Raw genomic sequence first — 17,169 nt, forward strand, 5'->3', positions numbered from 1 at the left:
ACAGTTGCCCCTATCTTTAAATAGCTGAAGACTAATCATGTATTCTTATTAACTGGGAGAGAAAGAAGCCATGAGATGGAAAACAGGAGAGAGTTTGATTAATCATGTAAACACTTACTCTTTCTCACTGAATTAGGCTATATGATATAAACCTTAAGACTTCAACGCAAAACAAATGGATGTGTATAGCAGCAAACTACTCAAATTATGACTTATGACTGCCTGTCCAGAAGTCTACTCACTTATGAAAAATAATAATGTTAGTCAAAACCAAGAGCTGTGCCAGTGGTTGGTGGTGACATACTATTCGTGGTGCCAGAAGAAACCTTCATGCCAAGTAATGGTACTGGAACTATACAACCCTCATTGGTAACCCACTCTATATCAACGATGCACCTCACAGAGCCTGGGTAGGCCTTGACCTCTCCCAGTCTGGCTGTTTCATTTATACAATGACCCATAGCAGGGATGGCAAATACTTGACATGTCATCAATATTCTCCATTTCTGTGACCATAACAGACATCACTAATCAATCACAGATAGTCTCTTACATTGAGCCTAAATATAGCCCCAGTATCTTCCTCAACACAGCATTCTAGGCAGCAGCAACTAAACAATCAGACAGAAGAAGAGATGACATGCATGCCACCTTGGCCTTGGAGCCATGGAATTGTCTAAGCCAATATTCAGAAGGGGAAAAGAGACCTGACATGCCAGAGGAGGCTTATTACAGCTTGAGATATTGAAGGGGACCTCCCTCTTTGCAGGACTGTCATCTTCCTGGTCACTTATTTTTATAAAATTCAAGAATCTTGAGTGGAATTGACCTTACAGCTTATGCCACTCAAACCCCATCCATGCTTGAACCACTTCTCTATCTCTTGAACATGTGATGGCCCATGTTGTATTAATCATTCTTAGTGACACCTCTTACTACTTCTCAAGACAGCCCCTGTTCAGCCACAGTGACTTTGCTGGTTACCAAGTTCTTTTTCACAGTGGGCAGCACTGTCTTTTTTGGCCTCTGCCAGTTAGTTCTATTTCTGTTTACTGGGCTTGTGCTGAAAAAGTCCCCTTTGCTTGCAGAATTATCTTAGAATTCCTTAGCATGGGTTCGAGGCCTTCTCAAGCTGGCCCAACCTACCTTAAGCCTTTGAATTACAGGAAAGGACCTCTAGGGTTAAGCCAATCTCCCTTCCAATGCCTTTACTAAGAGGCTGATTTATATAGAGGCAGCAGATGCTACACAACACCCACAGATCTCTTTGGATTAATATCTTTCCTGGGAAAAGACCAAAGCAAGGGGTCAGAAGTAGGAAGGGGTCAGACTGTGTTACAAATTCATCAGAAGACTGCACAGGGGGAGCCATCTGCTGTATCAAGGCAGAGGTCGGGAGGAGCTCCTTATATCTGTGTTTGCACCCAGGGTCAGGTGAGCACTGCTCCGTGTCTGTGCGCCCTCAGCCAGCGTTCTCTGCTCTCTGTGCTGGCTGGGACCTTCTGCTTCTCAGTCAGAATTTCCCTGGGTTCCTGACCATGGTTTAACTCTGGACCTTGGTTCCCACAATACCCTCAGACTGCCTTGCCAGACATCTACCTTCAGACGTGCTTTCCTGCCAGTTTCCCTCCAAGCCCAGGGTGCTCCACCTCCTTCCTGCTCCTCACTGCAGCCACACAGTCCCAACAGGAGAGGCTACCTGCTGTTCAGCCTCTCCAACTTGTCATTTAGTTGTATTGACTCAATCCATGACACTTATGCCATAGATCCCCATCTCAAAGGCTAGTCTTACTGAGCACTCACGCCTTAATACCAGGCACCCAACACACAAAAGGACAGATGCCCAGCTTCCTTCCTGATATAAGTGCAGAGGGATGGAGAGGAAAGAGAGGAGGGCCCTGAAGAGCTGCCCTTGCAGTGTCAGGGGTGCAGACTGTCCAGAACTCCAGGGCTGCCTGGCTCACACTGCGTGCTTTGCCTGCCATGCTAGTAAGGAGCCTTCAGTGCCCACACGTGTCTTGGTTGCTGCCCTCTGGGCCAAAGAGGAGCAAGGGGAGCTGGGGTGAAGAGGTGCTTACCCACAAAGTATGCCAGCAGGATGACCAGAGTGGCTGAGATGACGATGGCGCTCAGGGCTGCGCACTTCCAGTTACAGTACTTGGAGGGCTTCTTGAGGTTAAAGGCCGGCCGGGCGAAGGTGCTGCGGGGCAGGGGTCGGGGCGGAGGAGAGTACACTGTGCTGGACGTCAGTGGGTACCCTGGTGATGTGGTGCAGAAGAGCGGGGAGGTGCCTCCAGGCTTGAAGAGGAAGTGCCTGCAGATGGAGAGCAGCAAGAGGGTGTCAGGGGCTGCCCACAGACCAGGCACCCAGACAAACCTGGAGGCCAGAGGCGGCAGTAGAAGAAGCATGCAGAGGAGCCTGGATAGAGAGAGTCACCACAGAGACCTGGGAAAGGACAGGAACAAGGAGAGCTACGGACTAGACCATGGAACAGGGCACACAGAGACACGTTTCCACTGAACACGGATGGGACAGCCCTACCCATGGGAAAACCCACCCACGGCAAGGCAGAAGGTGTTAACCAACTCAACAGAAGGCTGGCACTGAGATCCTTTTCCTGGGAACGGATGGGGCTGGGATACTGTTTCTTGGGGAATAAACTTCCTATTCTCTAAAATTATTACAGTAACTTGGAAAGGATCTAAAATCCTGTTGTGTACCCTGGAGATAATGAGACTTAAAATTGTTCTTCTCCCTCCAATGCTTCTGTTGCCGGTGTATCTCAACTGAGGATTGGAATACCCTTCTTTTTAAAGGGGGTTTTATTGGTGTTGAAGCCAAGAAACCACCACTAAGTTATGCCATGGCCATTAGTCCCCTAGTGGCTGTCACACAGCCAATGGCAGCAAATGCCTTCAAAGCACTCTGTCCAGAAGCCAGACTGCTGCCTCCCAAGTCCAAGGTGAAAGCTGTGTCGGGGGACAGACAGGCAACTGCACCCTACAGCCTAGTCATGAGGGCAGCGGGGTATGGTCAAAGCACATGGTTGTGACCAAACTAGGTGTCAGGAGCTCCTCCACAGCTTGGCTTTAACCATGGCCATGGGAGGACTTGCACACAGCCTGGGAAATGGAGTGTGCTGGTTGCACTGTACCCCCCAGAAGCCTTAGGGCAAACCCACCCCTATTGGGGTACAAGGTGCCTCAGGTCACAGAATACACACTCAGGGCCAGAGTCCATACAATACAGGGCCTGTGCTGCATTAAAAATGCTATGTGAGATGGTTTTGGAATGGCAACGGCAGCCAATGAGATGCCAAGAGCTGCATATTAACAAGACTGCTGTTAATATGCTGGGGGATAGGGTATTTAAAGGATAAACTGTTGCAAGTTGAACACGGACTTGGTGATGAGCATGCCACATGGATCACCTCCCCCAGAAGATCCCAGGGAAAGGTCTCAGGGTCTGCATGCAAGTGCAGGAGCCACAAGGAGAGCACACACAGAGAGGAGAATGGGGATGTCACCTACCCGTCACTGTAAGCCCCATCATGGCGGGAGGCGCCGAGAATGTCCATCTCAATGAGGTTGTCCTGCAATGTCCCTAGGAATGGCTGCTTGCCTAGGTTTCTACGCACACATGGAGACATGAATGAAGCAATGAGTCATGCATTGATGAAGGGGGCTAGTAGAGAAACACACAAAGTGGCTGTTTGGTGCAGCTGTGTGCGTAAGACCAGCGGGACACGGTTTCCAGGCAATGGGTCAGTGTGCAAGCCACATGTGCAAGGGGTCCACCTGGCACAGAGCATCCAGAGAGAATACTGTCTATATAAAAACAAGGTTTGGCAGTTGTGTGCATCAAATCACAGTTCTCACTGGAGAGGACTGACATGTGTCCGGGACTGAGCTAGGTATGCTACATCCAGCCTCTCAAATCTTCAAAATGGCTATGTGAGGAAGGCAATGTAATCCTCATTCTACAGGTGAGGAAACTGAGATGTGGAGAGGTAATGGGTCTTGCCAAGGTCACCAGCTAGCAAAGTTCAAAGCAGGAATTAGAGCTCAGGTTCCAAAGCCTGTGCTCTCTCTCTCTACTTGAGGCTGCTTACATCAGCTTAAACAGTGGCTAGAGACACTCATTTGGCTAGTCCAAAGAAAAAAAAAAGTTAGCATTTTTGGCCACTGTCTTCTAAAGCCATGGTTCTCCAACTTTCTGGAGAGCTGAGCATTGCTGAGGCCCATCCCTAGGGATTCTGTCAGCAGGTTGGGTGGGGCCTGAGGATCTGTATTTCTCCCAGGCCCCCAGGTTAATGCTGACCATGGTCAGAGGATCATCGTCCTTTAGCGGTGCAGGGACCTGGGTGATAACTGGCTAGCAAGGATGGAGCTCCACGGAAGACAAAAGAGGATGCTCTTTGTTCCCCAAGTGCATAGCATTTTGTGACTTTACCTATTTCTAACCCAGAATGAAGACAGACATACTTGCCCTTTTTGGTCTCAACCAGGTCTGCTGAGTGACATGATTCACACTCAAGTAGGCTGGAGCCTGTCTCCTGATCTTTTCAGGACAGCTATCACCTCACTTTCAGACTCTGTGGTGAATCATTTGTAACAATCCAGTGGTGGCTTCAGCCTGTTGCATGCACCCAAGAAAGGAACTGACTGCAGAAAGCCAACTTTGGACCCAGCCCTGCCAAGGACCTTCTTTCTGACTTCGACCAGGTCTTAGAGCCAGCATTCCCAAATTCAAGACCCTTTTATGCCACTCTCTTCCTGTGCAACTTTGGGTATAACCCTTAACCTTTCTTTATCTTATGTTCTTCATGTAAAAAGGGATTACAGTACTGAGCTCACAAGGTTGTTATATGGATCGGCTGAGATAATGGTGGAAGAAGTATTAAGGGCTATACAAATATTATAGGAGTACTAATGCTAAGTATAATAGTTACTACCTACCCTACATCTACCACATATTATTTATTGTTCCAGAAGCTCTGCAACTATCTAATTTAAATTTTATTCCTCACAATAACCCTACAAAGTCAGTACCGTCATCTCTATTTTGTAGATTGGCAAAGCAAAGCTTGTAGAAGCAACTTTTCTAAGGCCATATCATAAACAAGTGGAGAGCCAAGCTGGAGCCTGGGGTTATCTGACCCCAGAACTCAGGCTCTCTCCACTTTATAACCCTGTCTCTCTCTGCACAGCTTTGTGGCTACTGCCCCTGGTCAGCCTCAAAGACCCAAACGAGGAGGGGCTGTAAGTACTATCTGGAAATCCCCTTTCGTTAACATCCCTTGGGACAGTGGAAGCATATGGCAACACTATTTGCAGGTACAGTGCTGAGTATGCAGTGGTGGTGGGGACCTCCTCTTTTGGTGAGTCGTGAAGCACTGTCTGGGCCAGCGGCCTGGGTGGCAGTCTGTTCTGCTGGTGTGCAAGCCCCTAAAGTCTTCCCCAGTGCCTGGGAGGAGCTTCAGAGGTGTGGACATCCCTCAGAGTGGCTCTATTTCCATCACCAGGCAGATAACCCTGCTGATGGGAGGCCTGGTGGCCCAATGGGAGGCATACAGGCCCTGAGGCCAGACAGATCTAGCTTCAGGTCCCATAATCATCATTCACTGGCCCTGGGCAGGTGACCCAATCTCTCTAAGCATCCACAGAAGGGGATAATTGTTCATTTTACAAAACCCAAAGTGTAATTTGGATCATATCACTTCTCTGCTCTCAACCCTCCAATGGCTTCATAAGCATTTTAGAATAAACCATAGTCCTTACCAGGGCCCACAAGCTCCTATAAGCTCTGGCCTCTAGTACTTCTCAAGCCTCATTTTCTATGCTACAGGTACACTGGTCTCCTTGCTGTTTCTTAAACAAGCTAAACCTTGGCTTTCCTCTGCCTCCCTCAACTATCTTTATGAATCAGAACCCTCCTGAAAATATCTTCATGGAATATAACCTCCTTCCTCCCCTCCTCAACTATTAGCTTCTTACCCTAACTAAAATAGCTCCCAGCCCACTCTTCCCAATCACTCCCTGGCCCCTTGTACTGATTTTTCAGGACTTCACATACACACACACACACACACACTCCTCTCTTTCTCTCTCTCTCTTTCTGATGAAAAATAAAGCAATACCGGAGCAAGGGGCCAGGAAGTGATTAGGAAGTGATAAACACACACACACATATCCAATATATATATGCTTATCTGATTATTGTGCTTTTTCCTAATGCATTTTAAGTTCCACAAGGCAGAAGTCTTATCTGTCTTGTTCACTGCTATGTGCCCAGAGTCTAGAGGAATATGTGGTACATGGTAGCAGGCACTCAATAAATATGTGCTGAATACTGCTGAATTCAGGATACACAAAGGGAAGCATGCCCGGCATACAGCAGGCACATAGTCAGTGCTTCATTGAAGATGGCAGCAGAAGGCATTCTGATTGTTTCCTCCATCCCTGCATTTCAGGAGGGAACTGTCCACTCTCTCTACAGCATGAGCAGGTCCAAGGAAGAACTCCTGCTGCCCCCCGGGACCTGAGGCTGGCTGCATGGCATGCTCCCTAGAAGACCTGGGAGTCTGGCTTGAGTCAGAAGGCTCAGATCCCATTTTAAGATACAGAGTCAAATTTATACCTTAAAACCATCAGAAATAAACAAAAAAATACATTCAGAGAAAAAGACATAAAGGATAAAGATCAAAATGTTAGCAGTAAGGATTTTCAAGTGACTGGAAAAACAGTGATTCTGATTTTAACTTTTACAATTTAAAAAGAAACAGTTATTTTTAAAAAAAGAGAGACTGGACAATTATCTTCTAAAAGTACAGATCTGTTAGGAGAGGGGAAGAGGTGATGCAACAGAGTAAAGGATTTCTAGAGTAAGAGGGTGCCCCAGTCTCCTGAAAGAGCTTCCACACTCATGCTCATGTGCATATTAATTATTTAGATCTCTCTGGAATTTGGAGAGACATGAGCACTTGCTGAAAATGTTGGCTATTGGCCAGGTGCAGTGGCTCACACTTGTAATCCCAGCACTTTGGGAGGCTGAGGCAGGTGGATGGCTTGAGTGCAGGAGTTTGACGCCAGCCTGGGCAACATGGCAAAATCCCATCTCTAGAAAAAAATTCAAAAACTAGCCAGGCATGGTGCCACGTGCCTGTAGTACCAGCTACTGGGGAGGCTGAGGTGGGAGGATCACCTGAACCCGGGGAGGCTGAGGCTGCCATAAGCCTCTGCACTCCAGTCCGGTCCAACGAGACTCGGCCTTAAAAAAAAAAAAAAAAAAAAAAAAAAAAGAAGACAATTCTGGCTATTCAGAATGCTACTACCGCCTTGAAATAGTCTTGTTCTGCTGGGCGTTGTGGCTCACGCCTGTAATCCCAGCACTTTGGGAGGCCAAGGCAGGTGGATCATGAGGTCAGGAGATCGAGACCATCCTGGCTAACACGGTGAAACCCTGTCTCTTACAAGAAAATTAGCTAGGCACGGTGGCGGGTGCCTGTAACCCCAGCTACTCAGGAGGCTGAGGCAGGAGAATCGCTTGGACCCAGGAGGCAGAGGTTGCAGTGAGCCGGCGATTATGCCACTGCATTCCAGCCTGGGCGACAGAGTGAGACTCCGTCTCCAAAAAAAAAAAAAAGAAAAAACGAAATAGTCTTGTTCTGTACTTTTAAACTTAGTTCTGGGTCAAATTACTTGGTGTCATTTGATTGATGAGGAAACTGAGGCCCAGAGAGACATGTGCCCTGCCCTCATACCCATACCATAGCAAGTCAGTGGCAGAGCTGAAACTAAAACCCAGGCACCCTGACTTCCAGTTAAAGGAACCTCCCCTCAAATCTCCTATCCACCCACTCCCCAAAACTCTAGGTGTCTAGTTCTTCTGAGAAACAAATGCCCACCTTTCTTGATGGGGACCCTAAGCTGCAGAGCCCACCTTGGGTCATAGTCACGCAGGGTCTCCTGCTCACTGCTGCTGAGAGCTCAAGTGTGGGCACCTGATTCACTTGACCCTCACACTGGTGGGTGCTATTACCTCATTTTACAGATATGGAAACTAAGGCCCAGAAAGGTTAAGTGCCCAGCATACAGGAAAAATTAGGTGAAGATGGGATTTAAACCAGATCTCTCTGACCTCACAGCCCTGAGCTGCCTCTCAGGAAAGAGGTTCCTGAGTACTTGGAGAGGAACCTTCAGCTAAGTGGTGGGCTGTTCTTAAAGAGGGGATAGACTGGTTCCCTCTAAGCATGTGGGGAGGCCTTGGACTAGCCCCTGAACTGCCTGTAGGAGGGGCTCCCAGTCCCATGTGTCTGACTTAAGGCAGGCTGAGCTCACCTCTCAAGGGCAGAGCAAAGGGCTTTTGGGAAGGAAGTAGCCAGGAAGCTGCAAAGGCCAGTAGTTCCTCAGGACCGCCCTGATCAACGGTTCACCCTCTCACAGTGAGCCCGCTGTCCTGGGCCGTGTTTCCACCCACAAAGCCACGGGACAGCCACAATTGCCTCTGATTCTCACAACTACCTACTGGGGCAGGACAGGCAGGGATCACACCCCATATTCTGTAGCTGAGACCTCCAGGTGTGCAGGGGGTTAGTGACTCAGCCAAGACCACACAGAGTTAGTGATGGGGCTGGCAGCTGAACAAATGAATGGAAAAAAAAATGAACCAGGCACCAGGTCTTCCAAGCCACGGTCATCCTTCTAAAAGGCCAATCCCATAATGGCACCTTCTGATTTAAAAGCTCTTGCTAGCTATTCACCCTCATGTCTACCACCCCAGCCTCCAGGCCCACAGGGAAAAGTACAACCTCCTTTTCATGTAGCCCAAGATCCTCCATTGCTGATCTCCATTTAATCTCATCCTCAAGAGACTCCCTGTGCTCCCGCTTGAGCCAACTACTTGCCATCTCTCCAAAATGCCAAGCTCTCTCCTGGCTCTGTGCCTATCTCTCAGCTAAAAATTCCTTTCTCCCCTGCAAACTCCTACCAATTTATGCCTGGAGAAGCTATTTTGAACAATCAGGAAGACGGCACTGCATAGTGGTTAGGTGTGTGGGCCCTGGAGCCAGCCAGCCTGGGGATGGACCCTGGTTCTGCCACTTACTGGCTGTGGGACCTGAGGCAAGTTACTTAACTTGTCTGTGCTTCAGATTCTTCATCTCTAATATGGGGATGAGAATATGACTACCTACATGCGCAGAAGAGTGAAGACAGCAGCCCTGACTGCTATCCTTTGCAATGCCTTCTTATAACAGTGGCCCTGGGCTGGCATCTGGGAACTCAGGTTTCAGGAGAGTTGCCACCATTAACTGACGAGAGTGGCTGGCTCACTGTGCCTCAACAATTATGATGAATAACTGCTTTCCTTTGGGGAGTCTGGAATCCAGGTACTTGCCGGGCAGGGGGTGCCGACATGAGCACCCCCAGTAAAAACCCTGGAGCTCAGGCTTTAATGAGCCTCCCTGATTGGCAACATTTCACACGTTGTCACAACCTGTTGCTGGGGGAATGAAGTGCGTCCTGTGTGACTCCACTGAGAGAGGACCCCAGAACCTTGTGCCTGGTTTGCCCCAGAGTCTACCCCAGGCTTCTTTTCCCTTTGCTGATTCTGCTTTTCTGCCTTTCACTGTGATAAACCAGGGCTGTGAGTATTAACACCTATACTCAACTACGTGTTGAGTCTTGTGAGTCCCACTAGTAAATCATCAAACCTGGGGGTGGGGGCCTGGGGACTCCCAACACCCACCTTATGGAATAGCTGTGAAGAATGAAGTTAACATGTGCCAAGAACTTAGAACAGCACCTGGCCGTTCCCAGTAAGGGCTCTCTCTACTGCTGCTCCCAAGCAGAGGGAACCATGCTCTCTTCTCTGCTCAGAGGACTCCCTCTGTCACAACATCAGTCATGGTACCTGTCCTCATTCATTTACAGGTCTGTCTCCCTCAAAAGACGGTGAGCTTCTTAATAACAGTTGGCTGTGTCTTCTGCATGTCTTTGACTGAATCACCAAATTACAAGGAAGACTGTATATCCCAATTCTCTGCAACGCTCTGGGGCTGACCTGGCCTGCCAGAAGGCACTGTGTGTGCCATTCTGGGAACCACACTAGGGCTGGTCTGGAGACCACCAGGATGGCCCCCATCCCTGAGGGTGGGCAGGGTTTTTCCCCAAATTCAGTGTGACCACAAAATGGACCCCAGGCTTCCCTACCAGGCTTGAGATGAGATGAGCTGGAGCCAAGGTCTGGCAGCCTTCTGCTCTGACTTCCCCTCACCCAACAGGAACCTGATGGGTTATTAATCAGACAGTCCCTGGGAAATCAATTAAGTGTCTGATGCTGCAGAGTGCAAAAGAAGTGGATCAGGGTTTGGGGGACCCTAAACATATGGCTCCCTCCAGAATGGATCACAGATGCACCTATAGAAGCTTAAAGCAACATCTTACCCCAGCTCAAAGGGAGCACAGGTAGGCCCAGGCTCCTCAATGGGGGACTCAGTTAACATTGGAGACTGCCAGAAGTATGGCAGGTGCAGAGAAAGGAGCACATTTACCAAAGCCCTCTCTCTTCTTCATCCTCCTGCTAGCCTTTCTTTTTCTGCCAGCATGAAATCTAAATCCCTCTTGGTCATTCTACCAGCTGTTATAGTATTTATTCAGCCATTAATTCTAGACTCTCAATACAGACTGAGTTTGACAATCAGGGAAGGGCCTGTGACTATTTCTCTGATATCAAGAGGCTCCCATTCTGGTGGGGACTGGCAAAAGCTGTTTAGGCTCCCATTCTGGTGGGGACTGGCCCAACCTGCTCTGTTGGGCCGCTAGGCCTCTGCTCAGACTGTGCCCTCTCAGGCCCTCCTTTCTGCCCCTCCTCTGCCTGGGAGACTCCTGCTTGCTCTTCTCAGTCATGCTGTACCAGGTCTTCCAGGAAGCCTTCCTTTCTCCCCACTCAAGTCTCAGTTAAGTATACATATTCATTCATTTATTTCACCTGTGTTAATAATTATCAAACAGCTACCATGTTGTGGGAAGCCCTGTGTTGTGTGCTGGGGATCTCAGGGCAATTAAAAAGTAGCATTATTTCCTGTACTTTTCTCTATCAAAGCACTTATTCTATTATAGGAGTCTGTTCTCTGAAATGTCTTACCTGGTAGACACATAGTAGACACTCAGTGAATATTTATTGAATAATAAAACACTACATAATAAGTAGTTGAGCATTTACTATATGCTAAGACATTTTCAGACATTATCTTAATATGTTTGTTACAACAGCCTTATGAGGTGGTGTGGTGGATTAAAGATGGCCACAAATTCTTGGACACTTTTTCCACTGAGAAGTGGGGTCTGTTTCTCCTCCTCTTGAAGCTGGCCAGCTTATGACTGCTTTGACTAACAGAATATGGAGGAAATGACACTATAGCATTTTCAGGCCAAGCCTTAAAAGCATCAATAGCTCCTGTCTCAGTGCCTTGGAGCCGCAAGCCACTGAGTATGAAGCACAATTACCCTGCTAGGAAGCCTATTTGGAGAGGCCCTTAGAGGGAGAGGATGCTATAGTTTGGATGTTTGTCCCCCCAAAGCTCATGTTAAAATTTAATACCCAGCTGGGCACGGTAACTCACACCTGTAGAACCAGCACTTTGGGAGGCCGAGGCAGGAGGATTGCTTGTGCCCAGGAGTTCAAGACCATCCTGATCTCTACAAAAAATAAACAAAATCAGCTGGGCATGGGGGTGGCACATGCCTGTAGTCCCAGCTACTTGGGAGGCTAAGGTGGAAGGACTGCTTGAGTCTGGGAGGTTGAGGCTGCAGCGTGTCAGGATCATGCCACTGCACTCTGTCTCAAAAAGCGGGGGGGGGGGGAAAAAGAAAAAAGAAAGAAAATTTGATACCCAATGTTAGAGGTGGGGCCTAATGGGAGGCGTTTCGGTCACGAGGGTGGATCCTGCATGAGTAGATTAAAGCCCTCCTTGGGAGGAGATCAAGTTCTCACTTTTATTAGTTCCTTCCAGAGCTGGTTGTTAAAAAGAGCCTGGCACCTCCCCACCCCTCTCTCTGTTGCCATGTGATCTCTGCACATACTGGCTCCCCTTTACTTTCTGCCATGAGTGGAAGCAGCCTGAGGCTCTCACCAGAAGCAGATGCTTGTGTCATATTTCTTGTAAAGTCTGCAGAACTGTAAGCCAAATAAATCCTTTTTCTTTATAAATTACCCACCCTCAGGCATTCCTTTATAGCAACACTAAATGGACTGAGACAGAAGGGTACTGCCAAGACCAGCTTTCCAGCCATCCCCCCACAAGATGTCAATTATGTTAGTGAAGTCATCTTGGATCCTTCAAATGAGTCCAGTTGCCAGCTGAATACTACCAGTGGACCCCTGTCAACGCGATGTGGAGTGGATGAATAGCCTAGCTGAGCTCTTCCTAAACTCTTGACTCACACTGTGAAGTGTAATCAACTGGATGTTTCCAAAGCCACTAAATTTTGGAGTCATTTGTTTGTTGTGCAGCAATAGATAATCACAGCAGAAAGTGACTTTTATTTTCTCCATTTTAGAGATGAAATTGAAGGTCTTGGTCCATAGCTAGTGAGCACTAGGGTGGGGTTTCTGAGGATAGGGTATGTCTGATCCTAAAACCGGTGCTTCAAACTCACTATGGTGAATGGGCCATCACTTGTACCCTCAGAACATAAGGCCAAACTTACTTCTCTGAAGTAGAGAAGAGGTAGAACCTACTATTTCCCCTCAACTCCTTTGGGGCGAGTAGGAGCTCAAGAAACTCTTTTTGAATGACATTTTTATCCACAGGGTGGATATGGAGAGAAGATGTATATGAAAAAAATGGGAAATAGCTTTTAGAGTGTGTTTTCTAAATGCTAGGCACTGTGCTGTGTGCTTCTTATATATCACATTTACTTCCTCCCAACCTCTTTGAGAGGCACGAATTCTTATCCCAATTTATAGATGAGGAAATCAAGGTTCAGGGATGTTAGGGAACTTGGCCAGCTAGTAAGCGTTAAAGCCAAGGCAGGTATGAAGGTCCCTCTGACTTTGAAGGCCATATTCTGTCCACCTTGCCAAGGTGGTCAGCTTGTGATTCAGTCTGCCAGACTTGATGCTGATCCCTCCTAAACCGTGCCTTGTTAGTTTTGTGCCTTCAACCAGTTAAGGTCAGCATCAAGATCTAGAATTCTGATTGTGTATTCACTGAATTAAGCACCTTTTCCGGCTTTAGGTCATCCTTGGAGGGACAGGACTCTGGGGTCACAGAGGAAGACTTCCTCAAACATTTCAACCGGGGCTTCAAGAATAAGTAGGACTGGATAGACCACGAAGTGAGAAGGTGAGCGACTCTGGCAGAGCTCTGCAAGACTCTGTGAAAAGGCATGAAAGGGCCTCGCATTGGGGGAAATACATGTACATGCACATACATGCATATACATACACTGAATATTAAATATATATGATATATATCACAAATAATGTTATATATGTATATAGATGTACATAAAATGGTGTTATGTGAGTATATACCTACATGTTAACAATGGTTACTTTTGGTGACAAATAAAAATGATTTTCTTTTCTTCTTGCTTATTTCATTGTCTAGCTGTTTTACAATGAACATTTCTTATTTGAGTAATAAAGTATAAATAAAAAGAAAAAGCTGCATGTGTTTGAGCAATGGATGTGGGAAGATAGAACATCAGAAAGGCAGGTGAGCACAGAAAGACAGGAGACGTGAGCTGGGACCACCTTTACAACTCACACTAACCATTAGGAAAACCGCCTTGCTGCTCATCCTCTATCTTCCTTTCCTTGAAAAACCTGGAGACTCAGAATAGGAAGTTCTAACTTGATCCTAAGTGGGAAAGATGAACATCCAAGCAGAGGGAGTGGTGACTGTGGTCCATGCAGAGCATCAGAACCATCGATTAGTGGCTGGCTTCTTCCAGTCATGTTCGGTCTTTCAATGAGCACATTGGAAATAATGGAGATCTGATTAAGCTACCCTGGGCAGGCTGACACACAATTATCCTACTCTGTTACTGATGAGGCACACAGGGAAAAATCACACACGATTTTAAAGGATGCCAACAGAAATAATATAAATTAAGAGACTGGAGGCGGGAGCGGGGAAGCTGCTTGGGCTGCATCTCTAAGAATTTTGCTTTCGGAAAAACAATTCTACAGGAGTAAAGTGGTACAAACAATGTTCATTTTCTCTTACTGGCCTCCACAAGCTTGATGTGCCATTACCATAGCTGTGTGCTAGGCAGTCACATGTCCACACTTTTCACATGCAGGTTAATTTTACTTCCTTAACTGTGGGATGACCTTTGTTCTCTTCACAGATAAAGAACAGGAGTTTGGGGAAATAAAATCTACGTTTCCCACTACTTTAGGAAGTAGGGTAGAAGATAAAGTGGTTCCAGTTTTGCCAGCCTAGGACACTTCATCTACAGTTTAGAGAAAGGGAAAGGCTATGCTCCCAAAGTCAACAGCGCTTATCTCAGAGTGGTAGGATTATGGGTAAATCTTAATTTTTGTCTTCATAGTTTTCTGCATTTTCTCCGGTGAGCTTGTATGGTTTTTAAAATCATAAACAAACTTCATTTTGGAAAAACAGTGTGTAGGCAGAGGGAAGGAGAACAGCTACAGAACTCAAGGAGACTGATGTCCCTGAGCTGACAAATCACTGACCAACAAAGCTGGAAGAAGGAACAGGGCAGAGGGATCCCGGCCAGCAGAGACGAAGAGAAGGTGGCTGGGGTGTAGGTGAAGCAGCACTGGACAGGGAGTCAGGCAACCTGAGTTCAAGTTTCAGCTGTGCCTCAGTCGCCTGTGTGAAGTGAGCTAGTGATGGACCCGCTCTGATTCTCAGCTTCCAAATTCCCAAATGGGGATTATCATCCTAATACCCACTTCATAGAGGTATGAGGATTACATAATGTCACACACAGGAAAGCCCTTGTAACCCAAAGCTGATGTATACATGCTAGGGGTTATTAGGGCTTTGGGCATAAAGGTGGTAGCACAGCAGGGAAGGAGGAGAGGTGGGGAGACTGACATAGCTGAGTGCCGACGCCAGGCCAGGCAGGTCTGACACTAGGCATTGGGTGGTAGAATCATGTAGGGAAAGGCAAAGATGAGGGCCCGAGCCAAACCAGACTGAGAGCCTGCTGTTGGTCACACATCTGTGAAAGCCTCGTTCACACATTAGCTCTCATCTCCTTTAACAGTTCCGTCCCGCAAACATCATGGCCATTGTGTAGATAAGGGAAGAGAGGCAAGGGGTTGGTGCGGGGGGTGTCTAGCAACTTGGCCAAGGTCACACCTTTGGTAATCAGCAGGCTAGCACTGGACCTTGGGTCTCTCGGGTTCCAAAGCCCATGCTGGCAGTCAGGGAACCGCATCCCTAAACCGTGCACCCAACCCCAGCTCCTCCGGCCGGCGTTATCTGGGGACACTGAATGGCCCCGCCAGCCAAAGACCTTGGTCCGGGCCCCGGGTGCCCACCCTCCTCAGCCTCACCCTCCCTACCGGCCGCGCACCTGGTCTCCAGGGGGATGTTGCTGTTGAGCAGCCAGTTCTCCTGGGCGTGGGCAGGCTCCTGGGCGCCGCCGGCAGGGGGCTCTCCGGAGAGCGAGTGGTCCGTGGGGGCCGGGCTGGGGTTGCTCCTCGGCGTGAAGTTGCCCCGGTTCAGGGAGTTAATGGAGGCCGCGTGGTGCTGGTTGGGGGTGTGGGCGTGCGAGAGCGGCGGCGGCGGCGTCCGGAGCCGCGCGTGGTTCTGCAGGCCGCCCGGATGATCTAGGGCACAAACATGGCGGTCAGCGGCGGTGAGCTTGGTGCTGCCCCTCGGCTGGAAAAGCAGCCACGGAGGTCTGAGCAAGACCACAGAAGAGGGAGCCGGCAGATTATACATATTGATGCAGTCAATCAGTAATTACACGACAGTTGTTTATTGAGCACCTACCATTCTAGGTGCTAGGGATACCTTAACCAACTAAACAGACAAAAATTCCCGTCCCCACTGAGCTTAAATTCTAGCAGGGGAGTGAAACAATAAACAACATAAAAAAGACTAGTTACCCATCTCAGCAACTTCACATTGTTTCATGCTTTTAGGACGTGGTTTTTAAAGTGTGGCCAGGGACCAGCAGCTTCAGCATCGTCTGGGAACTTGTTAGAGATGAAAATAAGCCCTGCCCCAGGCTGACTGAATCATGAACCCTGATAGGGCCCAGGAAACTGATTTTACAAACCCTCCAAGTGACTCTGATGTATGCTAAAATTCTAGAACCGCTGATTATATATGATGGTACACAGTAAACGAAACAAACCAAGTTTTTAAAAGTAAAACGTGGCCGGTCGCGGTGGCTCAAGCCTGTAATCCCAGCACTTTGGGAGGCCGAGGTGGGCGGATCACAAGGTCAGGAGATCGAGACCATCCTGGCTAACATGGTGAAACCCTGTCTCTACTAAAAATACAAAAAATTAGCCGGGCGTGGTGGCGGGCGCCTGTAGTCCCAGCTGCTCAGGAGGCTGGGGCAGGAGAATGGCGTGAACCTGGGAGGCGGAGCTTGCAGTGAGCTGAGATTGCGCCACTGCACTCCAGCCTGAGCTACAGAGCAAGACTCTGTCTCAAAAAAAAAAAAAAAAGTAAAACATAGAGTTTACTGAGATGGTGATAAATCTAAGAGCACATACAGCCAGGAAGGGGACTGTGGCCTGTGTATGTAAGGGCAGTGGTGAAATTTTAGATAGGGTGGCCACGTAACGAGAAAGATGACTTTTGAATAAAGTGAGCCATGCTGGGGTCCGGTGGTTAAAAACCACTCAACATTTACTGAGCACATCGAATGTGCCAGAGTCCCGTTCTGAGCCTTCTACAAGTGTAAATTCAGCTAATTCTCACAACCACTGCAGAGTAGGGACTGCTTTTATCCCCAGTTTACAGATGAGAACATTGAGATACTTTATTTATTCCCTTTAATTATTCAGAACACCAGGTATCATCACCAATTTATAGATGAAAAACGTAGACTTGGAGCAGGTAAGTAAAGTGCCCAAGGGTTTGTGGCTAAGTAGGTGTTATTGGCAAAGAAAGAAAACAAATACAATTTCTGGTGATACCACAAATGAGGCAAGTTGTGGAGGTA

General features: G+C 47.9%; 1 protein-coding gene across 9 annotated transcripts in view, besides 1 other annotated feature; it reads right to left on the minus strand.

Annotated features, from left to right (window-relative positions):
- Positions 1–17,169, minus strand: part of TENM4 (teneurin transmembrane protein 4) — a 788,202-nt gene that overhangs the window by 234,878 nt on the left and 536,155 nt on the right. For all 9 annotated transcript variants that reach the window (XM_047426739.1, XM_047426737.1, XM_047426736.1 and 6 more), the window contains 3 exons: positions 15,562–15,817; positions 3,532–3,630; positions 2,079–2,314 (listed from right to left, as the gene is read on the minus strand). In XM_047426739.1, the coding sequence (XP_047282695.1) occupies positions 2,079–2,314; positions 3,532–3,630; positions 15,562–15,817 (591 nt within the window). The remainder of the gene's footprint in view (positions 1–2,078; positions 2,315–3,531; positions 3,631–15,561; positions 15,818–17,169) is intronic.
- Positions 1,512–2,126: an enhancer, noted in NCBI's record as "H3K27ac-H3K4me1 hESC enhancer chr11:78600263-78600877 (GRCh37/hg19 assembly coordinates)". NCBI's record gives its function as "activates a minimal SCP1, AML or CMV promoter by ChIP-STARR-seq in naive H9 embryonic stem cells {active_cell/tissue: H9 hESC(naive)}" and the evidence as "EXISTENCE:reporter gene assay evidence [ECO:0000049][PMID:30033119]".

Source organism: Homo sapiens, chromosome 11 (assembly GCF_000001405.40).
Source record: "Homo sapiens chromosome 11, GRCh38.p14 Primary Assembly".
NCBI lineage: Eukaryota > Metazoa > Chordata > Mammalia > Primates > Hominidae > Homo > Homo sapiens.